Source organism: Homo sapiens, chromosome 2 (genome assembly GCF_000001405.40).
Source record: "Homo sapiens chromosome 2, GRCh38.p14 Primary Assembly".
Lineage (NCBI taxonomy): Eukaryota > Metazoa > Chordata > Mammalia > Primates > Hominidae > Homo > Homo sapiens.
Genome location: NC_000002.12, coordinates 160,135,027 through 160,151,412, shown reverse-complemented (window position 1 = coordinate 160,151,412; position 16,386 = coordinate 160,135,027). Strand labels below are relative to the sequence as shown.

Below are 16,386 nucleotides of genomic sequence, written 5' to 3'. Positions count from 1 at the left end.
TGTGTCTTTGTTCTCATTGGTTTCAAAGAACATCTTTATTTCTGCCTTCATTTTGTTATGTACCCAGTAGTCATTCAGGAGCAAGTTGTTCAGTTTCCATGTAGCTGTGCAGTTTTTAGTGAGTTTCTTAATCCTGAGTTCTAATTTTATTGCACTGTGGTATGAGAGACAGTTCATTGTGATTTCTGTTCTTTTACATTTGCTGAGGAGTGCTTTACTTCCAATTATGTGGTCAATTTTAAAAGAAGTGCAATGTGGTGCTGAGAAGAATGTATATTCTCTTGATTTGGGGTGGAGAGTTCTGTAGACATCTATTAGGTCTGCTTGTTGCAGAGCTGAGTTCAGGTCCTGGATATCCTTGTTAAGCTTCTGCCTTGTTTATCTGTCTAATGAGAGACAGTGTCTCTCATTATTATTATATGGGTGTCTAAGTCTCTTTGTAGGTTTCTAAGGACTTGCTTTATGAATCTGGGTGCTCCTGTGTTAGGTGCATATATATTTAGGATAGTTAGCTCTTCTTGTTGAATTGATCCCTTTACCATTATGTAATGGCCTTCTTTGTCTCTTTTGATCTTTGTTGGTTTAAAGTCTGTTTTATCAGAAACTAGGATTGCAACCCCTGCTTTTTTTTGCTTTCCATTTGCTTTGTAGATCTTCCTCCATCCCTTTATTTTGAGCCTATATGCATCTTTGCACGTGAAATGTGTCTCCTGAATACACACCAATGGGTCTTGACTCCTTATCCAATTTGCCAGTCTGTGTCTTTTAATTGGGACATTTAGCCCCTTTACATTTAAAGTTAATATTGTTATTTGTGAATTTCATCCTGTCATTATGATGTTCGCTGGTTATTTTGTCCGTTAATTGATGCAGTTTCTTCATAGCATCGATGTCCTTTACAATTTGGCAAGTTTTTGCAGTGGCTAGTACCGGTTGTTTCTTTCCATGTTTAGTTCTTCCTTCAGGAGCTCTTGTAAGGCAGGCCTGGTGGTGACAAAATCTCTCAGCATTTGCTTGTCTGTAAAGGATTTTATTTCTCCTTCACTTATGAAGCTTAGTTTGGCTGGATATGAAATTTTGGGTTGAAAATTCTTTTCTTTAAGGATGTTGAATATTGGCCCCCACTCTCTTCTGGCTTGTAGGGTTTCTGCCGAGAGATCTGTTGTTAATCTGATGGGCTTCCCTTTGTGGGTAAACTGACCTTTCTCTCTGGCTGTCCTTAACACTTTTTCATTCATTTCAACTTTGGTGAATCTGACAATTATGTGTCTTGGGGTTTCCCTTCTCGAGGAGTATCTTTGTAGTGTTCTCTGTATTTCCCGAATTTGAATGTTGGCCTACCTTGCTATGTTGGGGAAGTTCTCCTGGATAATATCCTGCAGAGTGTTTTCCAACTTGGTTCCGTTCTCCCCATCACTTTCAGGTACACCAATCAGACATAGATTTGGTCTTTTCACATACTTCCCTATTTCTTGGAGGCTTTGTTGGTTTCTTTTTACTCTTTTTTCTCTAACCTTGTTTTCTCACTTTATTTTATTAATTTGATCTTCAATCACTGATACCCTTTCTTCCACTTGATTGAACCTGCTATTGAAGCTTGTGCATGCATCACGAAGTTCTTGTGCCATGGTTTTCAGCTCCATCAGGTCATTTAAGGCCTTCTCTACACTGTTTATTCTGGTTAGCCATTTGTCCAATCTTTTTTCAAGGTTTTTAGCTTCCTTGCAAGGGGTTCGAACATCCTCATTTAACTTGGAGAAGTCTGCTATTACCGACCTTCTGAAGCCTACTTCTGTCAACTTGTCAAAGTGATTCTCTGTCCAGCTTTGTTCCATTGCTGGTGAGGAGCTGCAATTCTTTGGAGGAGAAGAGGCACTCTGATTTTTAGAATTTTCAGCTTTTATGCTCTGGTTTCTCCCCATCTTTGTGATTTAATCTACCTTTGGTCTTTGATGTTGGTGTCCTACAGATGGGGTTTTGGTGTAGATGTCCTTTTTGTTATGTTGATGCTATTCCTTTCTGTTTGTTAGTTTTCCTTCTAACAGTCATGTCCCTCAGCTGCAGGTGTGTTGGAGTTTGCTGGAGTTCCACTCCAGACCCTGTTTGTCTGGGTATCACCAGCAGAGGCTGCAGAACAGCAAATATCGCTGTCTCATCCTTCTTCTGGAAGCTCTGTCCCAGAGGGGCAGCCACCTATATGAGGTGTCTGTCGGCCCCTACTGGGAGGTGTCTCCCAGTTAGGCTACATGGGGATCAGGGACCCACTTGAGGAGGCAGTCTGTCTGTTCTCAGAGCTCAAACGCAGTGCTGAGAGAACCACTGCTCTCTTCAGAGCTGTCAGACAGGGACGTTTAAGTCTGCAGAAGTTGTCTGCTGCCTTTTGTTCAGCTATGCCCTGCCTACAGTGGTGGAGTCTAGAGGCAGCAGGCCCTGTTGAGCTGTGGTGGGCTCCACCCAATTTGAGCTTCCTGGCTGCTTTGTTTACCTACTAAAGCCTCAGCAATGGCAGATGCCCCTTCCCCAGCCAGGCTGCTGTCTCGCAGATCGATCTCAGACTGCTGCATTAGCAGTGAGCAAGGCTCCGTGGGTGTGGGAGCCACTTAGCCAGGTACGGGAGAGAATCACTTTGTCTGCCAGTTGCTAAGACCTTGGGAAAAGCACAGTATTTGTGTGTGAATGTCCCGTTTTTCCAGGTAGTCTGTCACGGCTTCCCTTGGCTAGGAAAGGGAAATCCCCCTGACCCTTTGCACTTCCCGGGTGAGGCAATGCCCCGCCCTGCTTCTGCTCACCCTCTGTCAGCTGCACCCTTTGTCCAGCCAGTCCCAATGAGATGAAGCAGGTACCTCAGTTGAAAATGCAGAAATCACCCATCTTCTGCGTCGATCATGCTGGGAGCTGCAGATCGGAGCTGTTCCTATTCAGCCATCTTGGAAGTGTTCAACTCTTTTTGGTAAATTCCAAAGAGTTTGATCACTGGATCATATAGTAAGTGTTTGTTTTGTTTTGCAAGAAACTACCACACTGTCTTTTGTAGTGGCTGCATCATTTTGCATTCCCACCAGCAATGAATGAGAATTCCTATTGCTCCACATCCTAGTCAGCATTTGGTGTTGTTAGTGTTCTGGATTTGGGCCATTCTAATACATGCATAAAGGTATTTCATTGTTGTTTAATTTGCCTTTACCTGCTGACATTTAATGTGGAGCATCTTTTCATATGCCTATTTGCCATCTCTGTATCTTCTTTGGTAATATGTCTGTTAGGGTCTTTGGATCATTTTTTAATTGAAATGTTTGTTTTCTTGTTAAGAGTTCTTTGTATATTTTGGTAATAGTCTTGTAGTAGATGTGTATTTTGCAAATATTTTCTTCCAGTCCATGACTTGTTTTCTTGTTCTTTTGACATCATCTTTCACGGAGTAGAAGATTTTAATTTTAAGTCCAGCTTACCAATTTTTTCTTTCATGGATTGTGCCTTTGGTGTTATATCTAAAAAGTCATCAACATACTCAAGATAATCTAGATTTTTCTACCATTATCTTTTTGGAGTTTTATGGTTTTGCATTTTACATTTAGGTCTGTGATCATTTTGAGCTAATGTTTGTGAAGGGTGTAATAATGTGTCTAGATTTTTTTTTCATGTGAATGTCCAGTTGTTCAAGCACCGTTTGTTGAAAAGACTACCCTTGCTCCATTGTGTTGCCTTTGCTCCTTTGTCAAGGATCAGTTGACTATATTTATGTAGGTCTATTTCTGGGCTCTCTATTCTGTTACATTTGTCTGACTATTCTTTTGTCAATACCACACTCTTTGGATTGCTTCAGCTTTATAGTAAGTCTTGAAGTCAGATAGTGTCAATCCTCCAACTTTGTTCATCTTCAGTGTTGAGTTGGCTATTCTGGATCATTTGCCTTTCCATAGAAACTTTAGAATCAGTTTGTTCATATCCACAAAATAATTTGATGGCATTTTGATTGGCATTGCATTAAATCTATAAATGAAATTATTAATTTTAAGTCTTATTTATTAATCTTTTCCTTTATGGGTAGTGCTTTTTCTATCCTACTTAAGATATTCTTGTTAACCATAAGGCTGTGAAGATAACTCCCCTGACTTCTACAGTGATAAAAGTCAAAATAGTTGTTGTGCTTTTGTGGGGAGGAGTAATGACTGGGAGGCAATACAAGGGAAGATACTAGGGAGCTGGTTATATTCTCTTTCTTTTCTTTCTTCTTTCTTTCTTTCATTTCTTTCTTTCTTTCTTACTTTGTTTCTCCTTCCTTCCTTCTTTCCTTTCCTTTCCTTTTCTTTCTTTTTTTTTTTTTTTTCTGAGGCAAGGTCTCACTCTGTCACCCAGGCTGGAATGCAGTGGCTGCAGCCCCAACCTCCCAGACTCAAGCAATCCTCCCACCTCAGCCTTCCAGTGGCTGGGACTGCAGGTGCACACCAACATGCCAGGCTAATTTCTGTATTTTTTGTAAGGATGGGGTCTCACTATGTTACCTGGCTGGTCTCGAACCCCTGGACTTGAGTGATATACCCACCTCAGCCTCCCAAAGTGTTGGGATTACAGGCATGAGCCACTGAGCCTACCTTATATTCTATTTCTTGATTTTTCTGGGTGATGGTATTTGCTTGTTTACTCTTTAAATATTTCTTGAACGGTATATTTATTACTGGCACACTCTGTATGTTACGCTGCCATTAAAGTTGATAAGAAAGAAAGAAAGAGAGAGAAACAGGGAGAGAGAGAGAGAGAATGCTAGCCGCTGGCTAAAGAGATACAAAGTAATGACAAAAAATACTTAGAAAGATTTGAAGAGAAATTTGTGAGCAGATTATATGACATCATATATTCTCAGTCTATGTAAGCCAATCTTTTAGTATTTACTAAAGATTTCAGTAGAATACATATAGTAAGTCTATTTCCAGATTAGAAACATTGATGTTGGTTAATAATATAATATTGAAAACAAACAGTGCTGTGAGCATAAAATAAAGTAACATTAGTGACACATTAGTGAGGCTTCATAAAGAGAGTTAAGCAAGCAGAGAGTCTAAAGAGAAGCAGCCGGCTGCTCTGAGCATTTGGTTTTACAAATTCTTTATTAAAATGTGATAGATTTGATCATTAAACATGGTATATGTGTATCAAAATATCACACTGTACCCCATAAATATGTGCAGTTTATTATGCATCCATTAAAATAATAATAAAAGCAAGAAAAAATTGCCGCTAGCTGATATGTGACCACTCGACTTGTGACTTCTCACCCTCAAATGAGGGGCATGCCTCAAATGAGGGGCATGCCTCACATGGTCTATATCAAATGAGGGCTACTGAGCTCTGAGGTAGGAGGGGTCTCTGAGACTATAGTAGAAATGTCACAAGAGTGGGCTATAAGGGCCCAGTAGAGTTACTGTCCAAAGCAGAAACCAAATCAAGGTACCCAGCAAGGATACAGTTAATACGAAACACTGACCCAGCAGACAGCCAGGTTCTGAAGAGCTAAGCACACAGGAGATACAGTCGGAGCAGGAATGGGGGTAACATCAGGAGCTGCCCCTTCTGCAGGTCAGAAAGCCAGGATATCACCAAAGCCAGAGAGGCTCTGCAAGGTCCTCAACAGGAGTCTTTTTGAAGAGAAGGCCAACCAACAGCCTGTCCACAGTTAACCAGGCAGCAGTTGTGTGACCGCATGTTCCTCTGCCCTGAGCCAAGCAGGAGTGCACACCTGACAGCTGGTTCTGGCAGCCAGACACTGAGAGGCACCAAACTGGGGGTCCCTCTCTGAGAGGAGCCCAGGATGTGCAGGTGGGAATGCAGGTGTTTCCTCTGTATCACATCTGCCTGCTAAATAGCTCTCTGTCGGTTTCTTATGCTTTCTCTTCCACAAAGAGGAGAATTCCAGGGAACAAATGCAGACTGTTGGATATATACATAATCTTTTTGGAGATGGGGCCGAGTGAAGAGATAAATAGGACTTGAAGAAGGAAGTTAAGAAAACTAAGGTAACCAGAAAGAATGAGTGAGAAAAGCAACCTCAGGAACTCCTGGGTGGTATGGTAGGGAGGACAGGGAAAATCCATAATTCGGTTAATCTGCAGATAGATAATAGAGAATTCAAGCCCAAGCATAAGAGCTTGCATTTCTAATCAGCTCATGCAACATCATGTTTGCAGTGTTCACCATTTCTAATATCCAAGCACCATCTTTTAGAGTCACAAATGCTATAATTCATCACATCCAGGCATGCAAAATCATCCTTTTTCTAACATTAAACATGTTTAATTACAACGATTTATAATAGTGCGTTAAGACTTTAATGAAAGGAAGGCATTTGACACATGATATTTACAGTAATCATAATACTACAATATTTAAAGTATAAATTTTGACAGTGTTAGAGCAGGAAGCCAAATTGTCCATATTTTTAGTTAATTATTTGAAATGTTTTTGGGGGAACTCAGCATCCAGAAATTAATTAATAGTTTTCCTCTGTGCAATTGTCAGTGTTAACCACTGGTTACTGCTACTGGCTGCCAACGCTTTTATATCGTCACTCTAGTGGAAGTCAGCGATTAATGGTAACCACTTGTCCTAATAGCCAAATGCCAAATGTCATACCACATGCAGGATTATAGTTATGTTTTAGGAAGTGGATGGGTTTGGCTTTGTTAGCCAAGAATTAACCACAAATTTGGAGGCCACTTGAACTAGTGCTTGCAGAATATATCTGTGACACCTCAGTCCTGGGGTTCTCAGGATGTTTTTCAAGGATAGCAGTTTCATAAAAAGCTAAGAGCCTTGAAATCCTTTTCCTAAGAGACCAAAACTTTTCTTTGTCAAGCGCGAAAGGTTCCCTCTGCCGTCTCTTCTGGGATCAGTCAAATTTACACACGTTCCAGCTTCACTTAAGTGGAATTCAAGTTCCTGTGTAGGTATTCGCTGTTAACCACATGTCACATGCTTCACAGCCCTTTGTGACATATGTTTATTTGAAAAGGTAAGTCCGTAAACCAGTGCCTTCCTTGTATTTTACAAGTTTCCCCTGACTCAGGGAAACAAAAGGGGGTCCTCCATCATCAGGCAGCAATGTGGGACACAAAGTAAGGTAAGGACTGTTACCTGGATTACTGCCCACAGCCCCCTCAATAATAAAACAGTGTCAAGGCAGAGCAGCATCTCACACTGTTAAGAGTTCAGATTTTACCAGGCTCAGTGGCTCACACCTGTAATCCCAACACTTTGGAAGGCTGAGGTGAGAGTGTTGCTTCAGCCTAGGAGTTTGAGCTACAGTGTGCTATGATCAGGCCACTGCACTCCAGCCTGGGCAACAGAGTGAGACCTTGTCTCTAAAAATAAAAATTAACAACAACAACAAAAATAATTAGATTTCTACTGACTTCAAACTTCAACACAATCGTGACCACTGAAATAAGAGGAACATTAGAAACCCTCAAATCAAAACCAAAACCCATTTTTCCACACAGGTGTAGAAAGCTTGGACTCACCCAGGGACCCACTTCTAGCAAGTGCCCGGGGCACCCTGCATGCATTCTGTGTTCTAACATTGCCCTAGCTTCATTTGTTCCTCTCCTTGGTTCTCTTTGTCCTAATTTATTTTCTTAGTATCACTATTATAATTAATGATAATTATCCATTCTAATATAGTTTTGTGCATTTTCTAAAACATTTAAATCTTCTTTAAATAAGATAGAATATCATTATGTTTGAACTATATGAGATGCCTTAAATCCTTTACTCAAAGCTTACTTACTCTTTTCTACATACAATTTTAATAAATTCAGCCATCTAATTTCGTAGCACACAGCAACTCAGAAGACCACAGCTGAAAGAAAGAGTGGTTGTTGACATAGTACAGTATAGAAAACCTACTTAGTAGATGTCAAATGCAATAGTAAATAGATAAATGAGTAAATTAGTAGGTGAGTAATACCTTAGAGCTCACCAAGGAGAAGGTAGAAATCATTTAAAAACACATATAAGAAGCAACAATGTAACAGTCAGAGCACACTTGGTATGGGTGTGACCTCTCCGGAGATTTCAAAAGCCTTTGATGATTACAGAACCATAGTTTATTTAATTTATTATTATGATTTTTTTTTAGACAGGGTCTCACTTTGTCACCCAGGCTGGAGTGCAGTGGCAACCTATCAGCTCACTGCAGCCTCAACCTCCTGGGCTTAAGCGATCCTCCTGCCTCAGCCTCCAAGTAGCTGGGACTACAGGCGTGCCACCACACCAAGCTACTTTTTGTATTTTTAGTAGAGACGGGGTTTCACCATGTTGGCCAGGCTGGTCTCGAACTCCTGAGCCCAAATGATCTGCCTGCCTTGACCTCTCAAAGTGCTGGGATTACAGATGTGAGCCAGCATTCCTGGCAAAACTGTAGTTAATATTGATAAGTATAACTCTATTCCTTCAAGCAAAGGCCAAAGTATTTTGGGGAATCTTTGTTTAAGAAGACAGGTATGTCTATCACACACCTTGTAAAACTTTTCATTTGAAAACAACAAAATTTAAAACATAAAACTCCAGGGTGGGGAAATGTCCAGCTGTCTGGAAAATTCCCTTCTTTGCCGTGCCTCATTCCCTGGCCATGCCCGATGCCTGGAGTGATGATGAACTCATATTGCTAGTTCTCAGGTGGGAATGATGCCTCAGGAAAAAACACTGTGGGTAAAGAATGCTTTCTGCACTAGCTTCTGACTCACTCCACGGTGATGTGGTGGGAGCAATTCCAACCAACCCCAGCACGGTGCTAGCATCCTGAAAGGGAGCTCATTACCAGGAGGAAGGGAGAGCTCAGTGCAAGCATCCAATAATTCACTCTCTTTCTCCACCAAGCGGTTACTCCTTAAGGCCTCTAAACTGAATGACTTACAGAGCGACCTGATTCCCCTCATTGCCCATGTGCACCAAACCTTGGTTTCTGCAACGTTACAAAAAGAGAAGTTCCTGGGTGTGTGCTGAGAACATTTTGGACAAAGGATGCTTCACGAATGGAAGATGTTATATAAATGCTACTATTATTTGAGACTTGACTCTTCTGGAGACAAAAATCACAGCCTTAGACCATGGCAACCACAGACCCTAGATTTCCCCAGTGCTGACTCTGTCCAGTCCATTTTCCACTTGAGCACAGGAAGCAGCACAAAGTAAAGGCTACAGTTTCAGGAGAAAAGCAGGTTTGTTATCACGAACCTGTTTTCCCTGGCCAGTTAAATAGAGGCAATCATAGCCAGCAGGCTCAAACCCACACTTTTCTCAATTACCATGAGGAAACAAAGATTGACTTACTCTTTTTCTGTTTACAGAATTACGCAAAACTTATTCCTGGAGCTACAGTAGGTCTACTTCAGAAGGACTCCGGAAACATTCTCCAGCTGATCATCTCAGCTTATGAAGTAGGATATTTTACAGCTGGCTTCTTTTTTGCATTTCTTTGGTATTCAAAAACTAAGATGTGATTTAGGCAGTTAAATGTTAGTTACTTGTTGGTAGAGAGAGTGCTTATCCAAAAAAAGTCTCTGCATGAATGCAGCCAAAATATAAATTTTGTTCATTTTGCTTGCTGATCTTCTTCCTGGAAGGTGGAGCTGAAGATAGAAAAATCATAAAACTGATCATAAAGTCGAGGTTGTTTTTATAATAATAAGCAACAGTAACATTGTTGCCGCAAAATTTTAAAGGCTCCACGAGTCATACAATTAAGCTCTCCTCCATCTGAAAAAAAATGAAGTTTAAATTGCCAGTGAGTGACAGAGTTATGTAGAGAGCTAACTCTACAGGCTTGACGATACTAGGTCATAACTCAAGCAAAAATACAAGTGTTGGCTATCCACCAAAACACCAGTACACAAGGAATGCCACTTTTTAATTTCTATACTTTGGAGAACTAGGGACATTTTCCACTGGTTTATGAGTAGGTGTGTAAATTTTTGCTTTTGACTTTGGGAATTAGTACCTGAGGACAGAATTCCTCCCTTAAAATTAGAATATATACCTACGGTGTTGTTATGTTCTCATTCTTTGTCTCCATTTCATAACTCCATTAGTCAACAATGGATGGCCCATTGTCAATTATTTTTAATTTTGGTTCCTAAATATCACCCCCCCTTTTTTTTTGCCTTTACTTACAAAGAAATACACACACAGAGAGAGAAAGAAGAAGCCCTAAATTAGGATAGGAATGAAAAAAAGTAAATTTTTTAGTAAGGAGTAAAGCTCTACTATTTACTGTAAACAGCAACTATGTAAGAACAAGTGAATAACAATTCTCCTGATTTTTGATGTTTTAAAATTACAAAAAAAAAGGCCCATCTGTAATATACGCCAACATTTAGCATGTACTGAACCAGCATTCCTTAACTAAAACGACGTATCAGAATCAACACGGAAAGTTTTTAAAAATAGGCCTATCCTCTCACAGACGTCTTTGAAGGACTTCAGGGGAAATGAGAGCTACATATTTTGGAAAGAAAAAAAATTCCCCAATAATTTTGACGTTGCCCCACCAATTTTGAAACTCCCCTGAAGGAAGAAAAGCAAGATATTCCCTCTCAAGTACTTCATTTCTTCAGAAAATAAAATACAGATGTGTCCATTAAAATTATAAGATGATGGTTTTGTTTTGTTTTGTTTGTTTTACTGATAGCCTCAGAAATTTCAGTTTTCTTAGATCACATCAAATTCATCACCACATTAGCTCATGCTTGAAATTCTTCCAGTCAGGAATGCTCATCAACAAAACGCTATAAAAACCTTCCTCCCTCTCATGCAGTAATTAAAGTTTTAATGTGTAGAATCAAATAAAATCACACAGCAATCCTTCACTGTATCAGAATGCACGCCATTTTTTCGAATCCAATACTCTCAACAGTGTTGGCCACTAACATCATCGGAGAAACTAAGCAGATTAGAAAACACTAAATTGTCAAAAATATTTCCCCCTCCAGTAAGAGCAGCCGCCATGCCTCTGCTTGCTCTGCCAGAGGTTATGGCTCACTTTAAGATCCCAAATACTTCACGCAACTTACAGGGTAGTTGAAATCAAGGCATTAAACATTTGAATTAAATCTTCTGTCCTTGTTTTACTATCTCAGAAATACTAAGAAGTGTCTATTATTCTTAAATGAAACAATCTTGCACTGGAGTTATTATTGGAGCTTTATGATTCACAGGGCAAAGTCTGTAATAGATCCTGGCACTAGTTCAAATTATTTTTCTACTGTTATTTTTAAATGTATGCTAAAAAGAATTTAAAATATGGGAACACATAGACTGAATTTCTTTCTAGTCTATAAAAAGAGAGAGAAGGAAAGAGAATATATTGAGAGAAAACATAAAATGCTTCTGACTGACCTCTAGTAGGGCAGAGGTAGACAATTTGTGTTTATAACTTTGTGGCTACAAACTTCAGCTCAGTATTTTACAGTGCCGTATTGATATTTTAAAAAAACCTTAAATACCGATGTGTACTTATCTGATCATCATTCACTAATTTTCTTTCTTCCCCGATCGTATAATAAAAGCTACCGAAATATCAGCAATCCCAAGGATAAGTTCCTCTGTTTGTGTTTAAATTCCAGGAGGGAATTGACTTGGTTTCTTTTGTTTTTCCTGGTTCATAAGAGATGCTCAAAAAATGAATGAATGAAACTATGAAAAATACAAATAAGTGTTTATGTCCTTTCCTTGGGAAATTCACACTAAAATATTCCTGGTCAAATTTGCAATATGCTGTTAAATTATAGCAATGCTGAAATTTCCTTTATTTAGGTCAGATCATGTCATCCACTAGTCCTCATAATTGCTGTCACAGTCTTCTAGCTCATATCCCTTAATTTTTATTTAGCTCCTGACTCTATCTCCAACATTGCTTCTATTTTAATCTTATTATTTCAGTATAAACAGATTTTGGAGGAAGGCAGGGTCATTTTACTATACATTTGGCAAACTTACACATAAAGTATCAAAGCATCTCATTTCTCCATAAATATATACACCTACTATATACCCACACAAATTAAAAATAAAACAAATTTTTAAAAAATTACACTTAAGGGAAATTTGAAGCCGAATATGCTTTTTAAATGCCAACAAGAAAATGGATATGTGGACTTAAAACTTTTGGATTAACTGAAGTGTAAATTAATTCATAATATTTTTAAATTGGTTTTATTCTGTTTTTCTATTTTTCATAATTTGGTTTGGTTCACCTACAATACAGACTTTCATTTTATAAGTGAACAAGGAATAGAGAAAGCAAAATGATAAACTTCTTGAGGAAAGAAAGCATTCTTATAGTATTCCCCAGACCTAACTCTACACTAAATACATTCCAATATTGATTTTAAGGCACACTTTCCCCCTACATTTTAACATCTCTAAAATTGAGCTCCATCTTACTGTTGGTGGTGAGTTACTATCACCATTGTGGTGCCAGGCAGCAGTCATGATGTAGTTTTCATGGACTATTGTGATTGTACTCACTTCAATTCATTAGAGGCATTGTTGCTACATAAATATTAAGTTTAATTGCTGTTTTAAAATATATTTTAAAATGTGTACTGTGATTTGATATTGAGATGAAAAGTTTATTATGTATGCAGAAATGTACCAAAACAGAGCAGCAGGGTGTAAATTTGTTATCAATGAAGCAAATATTCATTGGTGGAGGAATGACTTCAATTGTGGATTCTTTGCAAAGCAACAAACAGCTGATTTATGGGAGCTAAGAAATCATGATACACATAAAGGAAGCTGTTGTTTAATTTTGTTACTGAGATATAAGCAAAAGAATTGCCTTTTATATGCCAATCTATGCAACTCAGGGCAGGAGAATTTGCCAAATCCTTCAGAATGGATAAAATGATTTTCAAAGCAATGATAGATGGATAGGACTGATTCATATGGTGTGCAGAACCATCTTGAGGTATTTTGTCATAGTTTAATTGTCGTAAGATAATGGTGTATCTTATAATGTTGGCACCTTAGATTTGATAATATATAAAATGTATATATGATTGCTCACTTTCTTGCTTTTGATTGATGATATACTGAATTTCTTTAGACACCCAATTTAGTTTTATTTATTTGTAGTTCAATGAACATGATTCACGGTTTCTTCTTCTGGCTATATTTTTGGGGTTGTGACTTCACTGAACTCTTTATGTTGTAACTAAAGGAACTGCGGTCTGAGGTGGAACTGGAAGTATTAGGAGACACTGAAGGACTCAACTTGTCATTTACAGCCATCTGTAACAACGGTACCCTCTTCCAACACCAAAAGAAATGCTCTCACATGAAAGTGGGAGACACAGTAAGTAGCTGGCCAGTAGATAGTCTGAATAAATACCTGGATGGGTCAGAAATTAGCTGAGCTCACTGAAGCTGGATTTCTTTCAAGAATTTTAAAAGCAATTTTCAAAGATTTTCTAGTAAATGCTTTTGGCAAAGCTGATTTCCGTGAAGCCTTGTTTCACCTCGTGCATTTTGGTGGATGGAGGGAGATAATTAGTATTTTCTTTTCCAGGCTTCCTTCAGCGTGACTGTGAATATCCCACACTGCGAGAGAAGAAGCAGGCACATTATCATAAAGCCTGTGGGGCTGGGGGATGCCCTGGAATTACTTGTCAGCCCAGAATGCAACTGCGACTGTCAGAAAGAAGTGGAAGTGAACAGCTCCAAATGTCACCACGGGAACGGCTCTTTCCAGTGTGGGGTGTGTGCCTGCCACCCTGGCCACATGGGGCCTCGCTGTGAGTGTGGCGAGGACATGCTGAGCACAGATTCCTGCAAGGAGGCCCCAGATCATCCCTCCTGCAGCGGAAGGGGTGACTGCTACTGTGGGCAGTGTATCTGCCACTTGTCTCCCTATGGAAACATTTATGGGCCTTATTGCCAGTGTGACAATTTCTCCTGCGTGAGACACAAAGGGCTGCTCTGCGGAGGTAGGCTATGTTGAAATCCATCTTACCCTGTGGCTGCTCAAGTATCAGCAAGGGGCTTGGCATCCTCTGCACCTTCCAGTTTCCTGGGCACAGTAGGTGCTCAATAAATATTTGCTGATCAGCCTTAGACCTAGGGTAACTGAATCTTCTCTTGTAGGTTTTCTGGCTCTAACATTCACTTGGGGTGAGATTTCTGCCAACTGAACTTATGTCTATTATTGTTTCCCTAAGCGTAGATGAAAGATACAAGTGCCTTCTCTCTGGTTGACACCCAGACTCTACAAAAGTGCCTGTTATATGAACTCCATTACCTTCCAGGTTTTTCTGGACCAAGCAGCTGTGTCTGACTGACCTTTTCTTTTTTTTTTTCTTTTTTTTTTTATTTATACTTTAAGTTTTAGGGTACATGTGCACAATGTGCAGGTTTGTTACGTATATATACATGTGCCATGTTGGTGTGCTGCACCCATTAACTCATCATTTAACATTAGGTATATCTCCTAATGCTATCCCTCCCCCTTCCCCCCACCCCACAACAGGCCCCAGTGTGTGATGTTCCCCTTCCTGTGTCCATGTGTTCTCATTGTTCAATTCCAACCTATGAGTGAGAACATGTGGTGTTTGGTTTTTTGTCCTTGTGATAGTTTGCTGAGAATGATGGTTTCCAGCTTCATCCATGTCCCTACAAATGACATGAACTCATCATTTTTTAAGGCTGCATAGTATTCCATGGCGTATATGTGCCACATTTTCTTAATCCAATCTATCATTGTTGGACATTTGGGTTGGTTCCAAGTCTTTGCTATTGTGAATAGTGCCGCAATAAACATACGTGTGCATGTGTCTTTATAGCAGCATGGTTTCTAATCCTTTGGGTATATACCCAGTAATGGGATGGCTGGGTCAAATGGTATTTCTAGTTCTAGATCCCTGAGGAATTGCCACACTGACTTCCACAATGGTTGAACTAGTTTACAGTCCCACCAACAGTGTAAAAGTGTTCCTATTTCTCCACATCCTCTCCAGCACCTGTTGTTTCCTGACTTTTTAATGATCGCCATTCTAACTGGTGTAAGATGGTATCTCATTGTGGTTTTGATTTGCATTTCTCTGATGGCCAGTGATGATGAGCATTTTTTCATGTGTCTTTTGGCTGCATAAATGTCTTCTTTTGAGAAGTGTCTGTTCATATCCTTTGTCCACTTGTTGATGGGGTTGTTTTTTTCTTGTAAATTTGTTTGAGTTCTTTGTAGATTCTGGATGTTAGCCCTTTGTCAGATGAGTAGATTGCAAAAATTTTCTCCCATTCTGTAGGTTGCCTGTTCACTCTGATGGTAGTTTCTTTTACTGTGCAGAAGCTCTTTAGTTTAATTAGATCCCATTTGTCAGTTTTGGCTTTTGTTGCCATTGCTTTTGGTGTTTTAGACATGAAGTCCTTGCTCATGCCTATGTCCCGAATGGCATTGCCTAGGTTTTCTTCTAGAGTTTTTATTGTTTTAGGTCTAATATTTAAATCTTTAATCCATCTTGAATTAATTTTAGTATAAGGTGTAAGGAAGGGATCCAGTTTCAGCTTTCTACATATGGCTAGCCAGTTTTCCCATCACCATTTATTAAATAGGGAATCCTTTCCCCATTGCTTGTTTTTCTCAGGTTTGTCAAAGATCAGATAGTTGTAGATATGTGGCATTATTTCTGAGGGCTCTGTTCTGTTCCATTGGTCTATATCTCTGTTTTGGTACCAGTACCATGCTGTTTTGGTTACTGTAGCCTTGTAGTATAGTTTGAAGTCAGGTAGCATGATGCCTCCAGCTTTGTTCTTTTGGCTTAGGATTGACTTGGCAATGTGGGCTCTTTTTTGGTTCCATATGAACTATAAAGTAGTTTTTTCCAGTTCTGTGAAGAAAGTCATTGGTAGCTTGATGGGGATGGCATTGAATCTATAAATTACCTTGGGCAGTATGGCCATTTTCATGATATTGATTCTTCCTACCCATGAGCATGGAATGTTCTTCCATTTGTTTGTATCCTCTTTTATTTCATTGAGCAGTGGTTTGTAGTTCTCCTTGAAGAGGTCCTTCACATCCCTTGTAAGTTGGATTCCTAGGCATTTTATTCTCTTTGAAGCAATTGTGAATGGGAGTTCACTCGCGATTTGGCTCTGTTTGTCTGTTATTAGTGTATAAGAATGCTTGTGATTTTTGTACATTGATTTTGTATCCTGAGACTTTGCTGAAGTTGCTTATCAGCTTAAGGAGATTTTGGGCTGAGACAGTGGGGTTTTCTAGATATACAATCATGTCATCTGCAAACAGGGACAATTTGACTTCCTCTTTTCCTAATTGAATACCCTTTATTTCTTTCTCCTGCCTGATTGCCCTGACCAGAACTTCCAACACTATGTTGA

The 16,386-nt window shown here is 39.4% G+C and overlaps 1 protein-coding gene across 7 annotated transcripts in view; it reads left to right on the top strand.

Moving 5' to 3' along the window:
- The window catches only part of ITGB6 (integrin subunit beta 6), a 100,602-nt gene that overhangs the window by 48,860 nt on the left and 35,356 nt on the right, over window positions 1–16,386 (top strand). For all 7 annotated transcript variants that reach the window (NM_001282353.2, NM_001282354.2, NM_001282390.2 and 4 more), the window contains 3 exons: window positions 9,342–9,431; window positions 13,214–13,348; window positions 13,562–13,979. In NM_001282353.2, coding sequence (NP_001269282.1) covers window positions 9,342–9,431; window positions 13,214–13,348; window positions 13,562–13,979 — 643 coding nt within the window. The remainder of the gene's footprint in view (window positions 1–9,341; window positions 9,432–13,213; window positions 13,349–13,561; window positions 13,980–16,386) is intronic.